General features: G+C 32.9%; 1 protein-coding gene across 12 annotated transcripts in view; it reads right to left on the bottom strand.

Moving 5' to 3' along the window:
• Positions 1-12356, bottom strand: part of SCLT1 (sodium channel and clathrin linker 1) — a 220299-nt gene that overhangs the window by 113930 nt on the left and 94013 nt on the right. For all 12 annotated transcript variants that reach the window (XM_047449590.1, XM_017007717.3, NM_144643.4 and 9 more), the window contains exons 8-9: positions 10704-10769; positions 4997-5067 (exon numbers count right to left, since the gene is read on the bottom strand). In XM_047449590.1, coding sequence (XP_047305546.1) covers positions 4997-5067; positions 10704-10769 — 137 coding nt within the window. The remainder of the gene's footprint in view (positions 1-4996; positions 5068-10703; positions 10770-12356) is intronic.

Genomic DNA, 12356 nt, shown 5'->3' on the forward strand with positions numbered 1-12356 from the left:
CTTAGGCCAAAACACTCAATCTCTTTTGGATTCGTGGAAAGCCCACTCTAGAAGGAAGAATACAAACAAGCCAAGACTGCAAAAATTATAATACCTAACTCTTCATTGCTCAGATACCGATGAGCATCCACAAGCACGAAGAACATCCAGAAAAACATGACTTATCAGATGAACTAAATAAGGCACCAGTGTGACCAATCCTAGAGTGACGGAGATATGTGACATTTCACACAAGGAATTCAAAGTATTAATTGCTGTTTTGGGGAAGCTCAACAAATTTCAAGACAACAGAAGGAATTCAGAATCCCATCAGAAATTTGACAAAGATTGAAATAATTTTTTAAAAGTCATGTAGAAATTCTGGAGTTGAAAAATCCCATTGAAAAACTGACAAATGCATCACTCTCTCAAAAGCAGAACTGATCAATCAGAAGAATCCATGAGCTTGGAGAAAGGCTATATGAAAATACACACTCAGAGGTGAAAAAAAAGAATGAAACATGCCTACAAGATCTTTAAAACAGTCTTAAAGGGGCAAATCTAAGAGTTACTGGTCTCAAAGAGGATGTACTAAGAGAGATGAGAGTAGAAAGTTTATTCAAAGACATAATAACAGAGAACTTTCCAAACCCACAGAAAGATATGACTATCCAGGTACAAGAAGGTCAAAGAACACCCAGCAGATTCAAGACAAATAAGACTACTTCAGGACATACAATAATCAAAGTCTCAAAGGTCAAGGATAAAGGATCTTAAAAGCAGCAAGAGAAGAGAAGCAAATAATATGTAAAAGCAAAATTGTCTTTCAAACATAGAGGAGAAATGAAAACTTTCACAGAAAAAAAAAAGCTTATGAATTTTGTCAACACCGAACCTGTCTTACAAGAAATGTTAAAGGGAGTTCTTCAATTCAAAAGAAAAGGATGTTTATTAGTAACAAGAAATCATCTGAAGATATAAAACTCACTGGCAATAGTAAGTACACAGACAAATACAGAATATTCTAACTCTGTTTAGACTCCTTTAATTGTAATGGTGGTGTATAAACCACTAATACCTTTCATCAGAAGACTAGAAGACAGACTTACCAAAAATTATAAATACTACAACTTTTGAAGAGATAGACAATATAAAATATATGTAAATAGAGACAACAAATCAAAAAGCAGGGGAGATGAAGTTAAAGTTGGAGTTTTAAATTCTCTTTGCTTATTTTTCTTTATAATCAGAGTTAAGTTGTCATCAGTTTAAAACAATTGGTCATAGTATTTGCAAGCCTCATGGTAACCACAAAAACAAAAACCTATAATAGATACAAAAAAACCTGAAAAGCCAAGAAATTAAAATATACTACAAGAGAAAGTCACTTTTACACAAAGGAAGACAGAAAGGAAGGAAGAGAGGACCAACAATACAACCCCAGAAAAAAAGTAACAAAATGGCAGTAGTGAGTCCTTTCCTATTACTAATAACATTAAATGTAACTGGACTAAATTCTCCAATAAAAAAAAGAGTAGCTGAATGGATAAAAAATAAGACCTAATCATATGCTGCCTACGAGAAACTCATTTCATCTATAAAGACACCCAAAGACTGAAAATACAGGAATGGAAAAAGACAGTCCATGCAAACAGAAACCCCAAAAGAGCAAGAGTAGCTATACTTACACCAGATAAAATAGATTTCAAGACAAAAATTGTAAAGAGAGTCAAAAATGTTATTATATAATGATAAAGGGGTCAATCCCACAAGAGGATATAAGAATTGTAGATATATATGTACTCAATGCTGGAACATCCAGATAATATAAAGCAAATATTAGAACTAAAGATAAAGTTAGACACCAATAAAATAACAGCTGAGAACTTCAACACCCCTCTTTCAGAATTGGACAGATAATCTACATAGAATACCAACAAAGAAACATCAGATTAAATTTGTACTATAGACTACATTGACCTAATAAACATTTACAGAATATTTCATCCAACAGGTGAAAAATATATGTTTTTCTTCTCAGTATATTAAACAGTCTCAAGGACAGAACATATATTAGGCCATAAAACAAGTCCCCAAAATTCAAACAAGCTGAAATCATATAAAGTATCTTTTCTGACTACAAAGGAATAAAACTAAAATTCAGTAACAAGAGGAACTTGAAAACCACACAAACAAGGAAATTAAACAATACGCTCCTAAATGACCATTGGGTCAATTAACCAATTTAGAAGGAAATTTAAAAATTTGTTGAGACAAATAAAAATAGAAACACAATGTATCACAACCTATAGATACAGCAAAAGCAGTACTAAAAGTGAAGTTTATAGCAATAGATACCTCCATCAAAAAGTAGAAAAACTTCAAATAAACAACCTAAGGATATATCTTAAAGAACTGGAAAAGCAAGAGAAAACCAAACTCAACATTAGTATAAGAAATAATAAAGAGCAGAGCAGAAATAAATAAAATTCAGACTAAAAAATACAAAAGATAAGTGAAAAAAAGTTGTTTTTTTAAGACAAACAAAATCAATAAACCTTTAGCCAATCCAAAAAAAAATACAGAAGACTCAGGTAAATAAAATGAGATGAAGGAGATATTACAACTGAAACCACAAAAATTCAAAATATCATAAGAAACTATTATGAGCAACTATATGCCAATAAATTAGAAAATCTAGAAGAAATGAATAAATTCCTAGAAACATCCAACCTACCAAGATTTAACCATGAAGAAATACAAAACTTGAATAGACCAATAACAAACAAGGAGATAGAAGTGGCAATAAAAAAATCTCCCATCAAAGAAAAGACTAGGACTTGATGTCTTCATTGCTGGATTCTGTTGAACATTTAAAGAAGAAATAATACCAATCCTACTCTAACTATTCCAAAAAATTGTGAAAGGAATACTTCCAAACTTATTCTATGAAGTCAGTATCACCCTGCTACCAAAACCAGACAAAGACACAACAAAATAAGGAAAGCTATAGGCCAACATCTCTGATGAACACAGATGCAAAAATCCTCAACAAAATATTAGGAAACTCAATTCAACAACACATTAAAGAGATCATTCTTCATGATCAAGTGGGATTCATCCCAGGGATGCATGGATGGTTCAACATGTGAAAATCAATAAATGTGATGTATCAACAAAAGACAAAAACCATATGATAATTTCAATTGATGCTGAAAAAGTATTTGATAAAATTCAACATCTCTTTGTGATAAAAACTCTAAAGAAAACCTGGGTATAGGAGAAACATATCTCAACAAAGTAAAAGTCATGTATGACAAACCCACGGGTAATATCATACTGAATGGGGAAAAACTGAAAGCCTTTCTGCTAATATCTGGAACAAGACAAGGATACCTACTTTCACCACTGTTATTCAACACAGTATGAGGAGTCCTAGCCAAAACAGTCAGACAAGGGAAAGAAATGAAGGGAGCCCAAATTGGAAAGGAAGAAGTCAAATTATCCTTGTTTGCAGATGACATGATCTTATATTTAGAAAAACCTAAAGATTCAACCAACAAAACTATTAGATTGGATAAATTAAGTTGCCACATACAAGATCAACGAACAAAAATCAGTATTATTTCCATATGCCAACTGAACAGTCTGAAAAAAAAAACAAGAAAGTAATCCCATTTACAATAGCTACAAATAAAACAAAATACTCAGGAACAAAAAACCAAAGAAGTAAAATAACTCTAAAAGAAAACTATAAAACTCTGATGAAAGAAATTGAAGATGACACAAAACAATGGAAAGATATTCCATGTTCATGAATCAGAAGAATCAACATTGTTAAAATATCCATAGTACCCAAAGCAATCAAATCTATAGATTAAATGCAATCAAAATACCAATGACATTCTTTACAGAAATAGAAAAAAAATCCTAAAATTTAAAGGGAACCAAACAAGACACAGAATAGCCAAAGCAATCCTGAGCAAAGAGAACAAAGCTAGAGGCATCACATTAACTGACTTCAAATTATACTACAAATGTATAGTAACCAAAACAGAATGGTACTGGCATAAAAACAGACACAGATGAACTGAACAGAGAACCCAGAAATAAATCAATGCATTTATAGTCAACGCATTTTCAACCCCTATCTCTTGCCATATACCAAAATCAAATCAAACTGTATCAAAGACTAAATCTAAGACCTGAAACTATGAAACTACTAGAAGAAAATGTTGGGGAAACACTCCAGACATTCATCTGGGTAAAGATTTCTTGAGGAGGACTTCAAAAGTACAGGCAACCAAAGCAAAAATGTACATATGGGATCGTATCAAGCTAAAAAGCTTCTGGACAGCAAAGGAAACAATAAGTAAATAAAAAAACCCACAGAATGGAAGAAAATATTTGTAAACTACCCACTGGACAAGGGATTAATAACCAGAATTGGAATATATAAGGAGCTAAAACAACTCGAGAGGAAGAAAAAGAACAAATAATGGGCAAAATACCTGAATAGTAATTTTGCAAAAGAAGACATACAAATAAATGGACAATAGGTATATGAAAAAATGCTCAGATGATTTGTGGGTTCCCCATTCGTGGATTCAACCAATTGCAGATTGAAAATATTTTTTAAAACAATAAAAAATAAAAATTTTTAAACAATACAGTATATAATCTATTTGCATTTACATTATACTAGGTATTATAAGTTATCAGATTATTTAAAATATATGGGAAGATGTGCATAGGCTATATACAAATACTTTGTCATTTTATATAAAGGACTTGAACATCTGTGTATTTAAAGGTCTGACTGTATATCACAGTTATCTCCTAATAATCTTGATTTCAGTTTCTTCCCATCCTAACAGATCATATACACAAGAAGATATTGGCAGAAGCTTAACAAAAGGAAGGCAAAAAAACACCCATGGGGAAAATTATAGCATCATCAGCTCCCCTGAAGAAAAATAATTAACAATGAAATAATGAAACTCATTTTTGAAAATACCTAAGTTTTTTTCGGAGTTGTTCGATTATCACACTTTGTTCAGTTACTGTTTTCAGAAACTGTTGGTTAGTCTGCCACAAGAAAAAAAAAGAATCAGTATTAGAATATTTAATAACTGTATCTTTAAAGATGACACATCAGACATACAAGTAGAAAAAAAGTTTAGTGAGATTTATGATAAAGATTAGATTTTTTGAGGGTAAAACATAACCTTGGCCTTCTTTCCTTGCCTTTACTACTTCATTGGATACCTGCTTCACTTGAAACTACCTACACCTGCATTCCTGTCTTATGGCTTTCTTTGGCTATCTGAATCTCTTTTGCTCATCTATCCACCTGGGCATAAAGCTATAAGTGTTATAGAACTAATGTTCCACCCTGTTCTGAGCAGCCTGACATGTCTGAAGGGAACTGGTATATAAAAAACCCAAACTCCCTTCTTGCATGGGTGAAATAATTCTGAGGCTTGTGTTCTACACTGTCTTTCAGAATTCATTAAGTTTTAGTTACTCACAGTGTTAACTTGCTTAATTTTAAAAAGCCCTTTATTGGCTGTCTTCTCTTCTCTTGATACCACTTCCCCACCTTCTTACTGGTGCTCCCTGGTATTACCTACTAAATAAATGACACGTTTTGGAACTTTTTCCTGAAGGTCAGCTTCTGGAGAAATCCACAGTAAGATATGAAGTAGTCTTCTAGATGTAGAAAAACTTTTCCTAAGGGAATTGATTTTCTTCCATAACTGCTGGTTTTATCCATGATGATACAAATTCCTTATCCCTTTTCTTTATATATTATGGTTGCTCCCGATTGATCTTAATAGTTTTGATTTAATCCTGTCCCAACATACCATGCTTAAATTTCTCCAACTAAAGTCCCTGAGATAGCTTTCATTGTGCTTCTCTCATGCTCTGAGCTCACTGACTTCATATTTTTAACATACTATCGTATTTTCCTCTGCCCAGGATGTCCTCATTCTGTCTGCATTCATTCCTCAATACCATGTGTGGTTTACTCATTCTCAGGTAGAATTAACTGTTTCCTTTCTGTACTTTGATAAAACTTAATACATGCCTTTACAGTGCACATTATATTTAAATATTAAAGTGTAGGTATTCCTGACTAAAATATGAGCCTTTTTAAAGGATCAGCTTTTCCCAGAACTCCTAGTGCCTGGCACATGATTGAGTACATCACAGGCACAACTAGTGTTTTATTATATATACTGCCTTGGCACTAGCATAATTAATGCTTGTGTTTTTGACCATTTGGGAACACCTCAAAGATAGAATTACATAGAGCAATTAACAGAAGTATAAGCTAAAATTCTGCATTTTAAGAATCTAGTGCTGGAAACCAAGGTGCTTAACTTGCTAGCAAGCCTAGTAAGAGCTCCGCAACTGCATCTGAATATGGCATTGTTGTTCTATATTTATGACCATAAAGAAAATTATGTACTATATTAATATTTTAGAATTAGGAGACTCGAGAAGGTGCAGGGAAGCATCCTTTTCAACCATCATCTATTTAGCACCTTTTTCACTGATTATTTCATATGTCAGCCTGTTTTACCACGGAGACAGAGATTTTATGGTTGATGCATTTTTGCAACTTAGAGAACCTATACTTTCATGCAGGATAGTTAGTATGCAATTAAATATTTTTGAGTAAATTATAGAGATGAGCAAATCTTAAAAAACATTTCAGTAAAGCAAACCTATGGGAAATGTAAAATTATAATCTATCTACAGCATAATAAATAGAAATATATACTTTTATGTACCATTCATGTCAGAGCATATCTATTGCATATTACTAATTTGCATTGGTAAAGAAAGATATTTATTTGTATCAATTTGTAGTAAGAATACTTACATGAGTTATGCACTTTTAAAACATGTTTAAGTGTACAATACGTTATTGCTGACTACAGGTACAATATTGCACAGATCTCTAGAGGTTATTCATCTTGTTTGACCGAAACTTCATGTGTGTTGATTAGTAAGTCCCCATTTCTTCTCACCAAAGGCCCTGGAAGTCACCATTCCAATCTCTGTTTCTATAAATCTGTCTACTATAGATACTTCGTATAAGTAAAATCATACAGTGTTTAGTCTTTCTGTGACTGGCTTATTTCATTTAATGCTCTCAAAGTTTATTCATGTTATCACATATTGCATAATTTCCTTCTTTTTAAAGGCTGAATAGCATTCCACTGTATGTTTATACATTTTAATCCACTCCTCTTTGATGGACATCTAAGGTTGTTTTCGTATCTTGGCTAATGTGAATATGCTGCAATAAGCACAGGAATGCTAATATCTCTTCAAGATCTTAATTTCAATACGTTGGGATAAATATTCAGAAGTGGGATTTCTGGATCATATGGTAGTTATATTTTTATTTTTTTGAGGAAACTCTATACTGTGTTCCATGGCAGATGCACCGTTTTGCAATCCCACCAAAAATGTTCAAGGTTTCCAATTTTTCCACATCCTCTTCAACACGTGTTGTCTTTTTTGTTTTGATAATAATCCCTCTGACACGTGTGAGGTGATACATCATTGTAGTTTTAGTATTTATGTTTCCCTAATGTTTAGTGACATCGAGCATTGGGCATTTCTTCACATACCCATTGCCTTGGAAAAATACCTATTTAAGTACTTAGCTCATTTAAAAATCAACTTATTAGGTTTTTTTGTGTGTCTTTTGTTTTTTACTGCTGAGTTATAGAAATTCCTTAAATACTTTGGAGATTATTCCCTTATTGGATATACGGTCTGCAAATATTTTGTCCCATTCCATAGGTTGCCTTTTCACTCTGCTGGTTTCGTTTGCTGTGCAAAAACTTTTTGGTTTGATGCAGTCCCACTTGATTACTTTTTTCCTGCTGTCTGTACTTTTGGTGTCATATCCATGAAATCGTTGCCAAGACCGATGCCATGGAGATTTTCCCCTAGGTTTTCTTCTAAGAACTTTATAAGTAAGAGGTGTTAGATTTAAGTCTTTAATCCATTTTGGGTTGATATTTGTGTGTTGTGTAAGATAAGAGTCCAAAATCATGTTTTGAATACGAATATCTAGATTTCCCAACTCCATTTTTAATTCCGTTATTGTGTTCTTTAGGTCCATAATTTGTGTGCTACTTTTTAATATTTTTTCTCTGTTGCAACTCTCACTTTGTTCATACATTGTTCTTTTAACTGTGGTGAGCATCTTCATGAGAGTTATTTTTAATTCCCTATCAGGTAATTCATAACTTCTTTTCATTAGGATTGGTTTCTGGAGATTTATCTTATTTCTTTGTATGGAACATCTTTAGCTGGTTCTTCATTTTTCCTTGACTTTGTGCTCACGTCCGTACATTAGAGAAAGCAGGCACCTCTCCCAGTCTTCACAGATTAGTGTCATACAAGAGAAGACCCCCACAAATCAGCTGGCCAGAGATTCAGCAGGCCTCTACCAACTCTTTCCCTCCCCAGGGAGATGCTGGCAGCTGTGGCTTTGTCTGCTTGCTCTGTGATGAGCTGGGGGGTAGGGAACTATAGCATGTATCAGCCCAATCTGCTGTCTCTGTTCTTCCCTAGGTGTCTAGACCATGCTGGACCTATTAGAGCTTCGTGAGACAGATGCTATTTCTCTGGGCTGCCCTAGAGAAGCTGCAGTGCTGGATCAACTTTTCCCCTCCCTAGGGGAAAGTTGAGAACTGAATTTTCATCTACTTACTCTGTGCTGAGAAGAGCACAGGACCAATGCCAACTATCAGTCCAAACCAATGCCTCCATTCTCCCTTGGTTGGCCAGACTATGCTGGATCTGTGAGCTCCGAGACTGGCAAGATAGAGGCCAGTATTCTGGGGACCACCCTCAGAAAATTTGGGGTGATGAATGCACATACCTAATCCCTTCCCTCCCCTGGGTGAAGCTGGGAGCTAAGGGGTCTTTTTTTGATCACATGGCACGGCACTGGGGACAGGGTGCCTAGCAAGAGAGGGTCTCAAATCTCCCTGCTAGCTTTGGTGAGTCTGGTTTTCCAATCCCCCAGGAAGTGAGAACATTTCCATTCATTTCTGATTTATTGCAAAGGAAATTTGTCCATGAATTGTTGCTGAATTGGTGTATCTGTGGGGAGAAGGAGTGTCCAGGATGTCCTACTCTGCCATGTTAGTCAAATTATATTGAAAGACAGTTTATTTACTCACTGCATACTCATCAATTTATTCTACATCTATAAAAATCTATTCATTTAATGAGTTTATTCGTGTAATCAGAAAATTTTTTGTTGGAAACTTCTTGATTTTTAAAGGGCACTTTTCTTCAAGTTTGATCTTGACTCATACTTGCCCCCATAACTATGTTCTGAATGCTCTTTGAACTGTACAAGATCTTATCACTTTGCTTGCTCCCTTTATACTTATCAGTCTTGTTTGCTATTCATTATATACATTAAGAACAACTTAAATTTTAAAATTTCTTTCAACCATTTACTTTTATCTTAACCACCTATATAGTCTTTTCTATATTTTTATAAAACTCTCTTTTATTCATCATGCCATTTCTTTATCAGTTTTCTCGTATCCAGTTTATTCTTAGCTCTGACCTGGAACCATGAATACTTCTGCCTTAGAAATTTTTAACATATTCCCTTGGAATATACAACATCCTTTTCCCATGACTTTCTTTCATCAAAATCATAATAAAATAGGGGCTCTGTGATATGATATATCAAAGAATGATACAATTCCAATTCTAGGAGACATATTGAAGAAGTAATGAATAATTATGATGCTAGGTTAAAGTACTAATTCCATATAGAAATATATTAAATTAAAAAATGCCTTTCTTAATTATAGAAATCAGTAACCATTTTGTTCTGGAGTACTAGTATTTTAAAACTCTAAGAAGTATAATATAGTATCAAAAACTGTATGTAATTAGACACTTCAAATGTTAACAGAATAGGTACAGATTGGTTTAATAATTTTTTACATGGTTAAAAAAGAAAAATTTTTAAAGTAGAATAAAATTGGATACTTACTTTTGATAGCACAAATCCATTGTTATACAAAGACATTTTTATTAGGTACTAACAAGAATTAGCAGAGTAACTAAGCAAGAATGAAGAAGGGAAAGAGAGAGGAATTACCTGAAGTGTCATAATTCTATTACTCAACAATGAGGTAAAAATAACATTCCAAGAAAGTAAAGAAAACAAAAGTGAGAGAATAAGAAGGTAAAGAGCAGAACTGGAAAGACTAATTCTATTTATTTTAGGAGAAACTTATAGGGAAATTTAGGAGTACCATACCAACACATGGTCCTTAGTTTCCTAAAACTTTTTAGGCAATGGGCTATTAATTCATTAAACAATTACACTATTCTTATTAAATACCTGGCAGTGTGTCAGGTGAAATAAAAAAAATTAAGCATGTACTCTACTCTTGAGGAACTCACTGTCTAGATTAGTCTAAGGAGACCTTACTAAGAATCCTAAGAGGATTTCCAGATTAAGATATATTTCAGAGAGATGTTAGATCTCCAAAAGGTACTGTAAACTGTGTCATGCTATTGAATGAGAAAGCAAAAGCAAAAGAAAAAACAGTATTATCTAATTTCGTGCAGCATGCTTATTGTTGATTTATATTAACATAAATAAATATGATTATTTATAGGGACAATTTCTAGTTTATATAAATAAGTATACTTACCACTTCCATGTTCTCATTAGTAACATGAAGTTGTTTGGTCAGTTGTTGAAAATCAAATAGCTGATCCTACAGTGGGAAGGTAAGGGGAGTATATAAATAGCATTTTGTTGTTTATAACCCATATTTAAAATTAAACTAAAATCAAGTCTAAAATCATTATGCCTAAGTTTAGATAAAATTAGTAGTGTTTCTTATTACTATTGTGTGAATTAGTAGTTGAAAAACTAAGAAATTTTTTAAATGATTAAAAAATTAAAGTGGCAATGCTGAAATTAATGTGGCTGTTTATTTTATGTCAAATAATTATTTCTAGAAATCATTTATTAAATATTATTTTAAAACTTGAAGAAAGAGATCATAAAAAATTATAAGTGATTAGAAATTCTAAATGCTAGAGAGACCTTGTCCAATATTGGAACGTCACTTTCAAACCTACTCAAAACCTATAATACAAACCATGGCACAGGAGTTACTGCCCACCTTTTTTAAAAACATTCTCATGCCCCACATTTTAAAAATTGTTTGATTAGCTGTTATGATTCTATTAAACATTATTTGTACAGACGACACAAAGTTGGGAGAGGCTGTAAATATACTGAAAGACAGAATTAAATAGATAACCAGGGAAAAAAGAATGAAGTGCTATTTGTAAAGTCTTGTATAAGGACCCATCAAACTATGTAGCTATAGTAAAAGAATGATATTATTCAGGTGAAAACAAAACAAAAACCCAACCTTGTGGGCTTAGTTGATTGACCTAAATGAGGAAACAGTCCTCAAAGAACTTAATATGAAAAATGGTTTTTAAATCTCAGAGGTAAAAGTCCAACAAATCAGATTGATTACATGTGGACTTTTTTTCAAGCCAGGGCATGTAAAGAAAAATCATTTTGTAAACTGTAAAGCATCACATAAGTATTTTTACAATTTCTTTAGGTAGATATTTCTAATTATAATTACAATAATAGGAATATTCATTAACCAGAATTTGAAAAGTCTGTAAATGAGAGCTGAAGAGAGGTATGAAAACCAACTTATTTAAAGAGCTTCCTCTCAAAATACATAGAAAAGAGGTCAGAATTAGAATTCCTCCATAGTGCTCAATGCACCTAGCAATAAAAGAACCAACAGAAGAATAAAAGAGGTAGATTTCCAAATGGAATAGATGGCCTTGTGAGATAATGAGTTCTTGTCAATAGACGTGTAAAGCAAAAGCTAAAGCTAGATGTCCACTTTGAAAGAGTGTAGAATGATTCTTGCTTTGGGTAGAAAAAAGTCTTTTAATAACCATTAAGATACCTTCCTGTTGTAAAATTCTATTCTGATTAATTTATGATAGACAAAATTGACACCTATTTTAGTAACAGGTCACATTTAAGGGTATTAACATTTGATTTTACATAGTGTTTCCACTGTATTTGAGCAGGTTTCTTCACTGGCCATAAACTAATAAACAATTTTGTTTTGTTTTGTTTTAAAAGTCAGGTAGGAAATCAAGCAAATAAAAACTTTGAAGGTTTATTTATACAAAATAATGTTAAAGTTGCTCTTTAGCACTAAATTCAGCTTTCATTGCTGACAACATTATAGAACCAAATGATCACTGTCCAGTTCTCTAATTAGTTTACCTGTTCAATAGTGTAACCATCAAAG

This window comes from Homo sapiens, chromosome 4 (assembly GCF_000001405.40).
Source record: "Homo sapiens chromosome 4, GRCh38.p14 Primary Assembly".
Taxonomy (NCBI): Eukaryota; Metazoa; Chordata; class Mammalia; order Primates; family Hominidae; genus Homo; species Homo sapiens.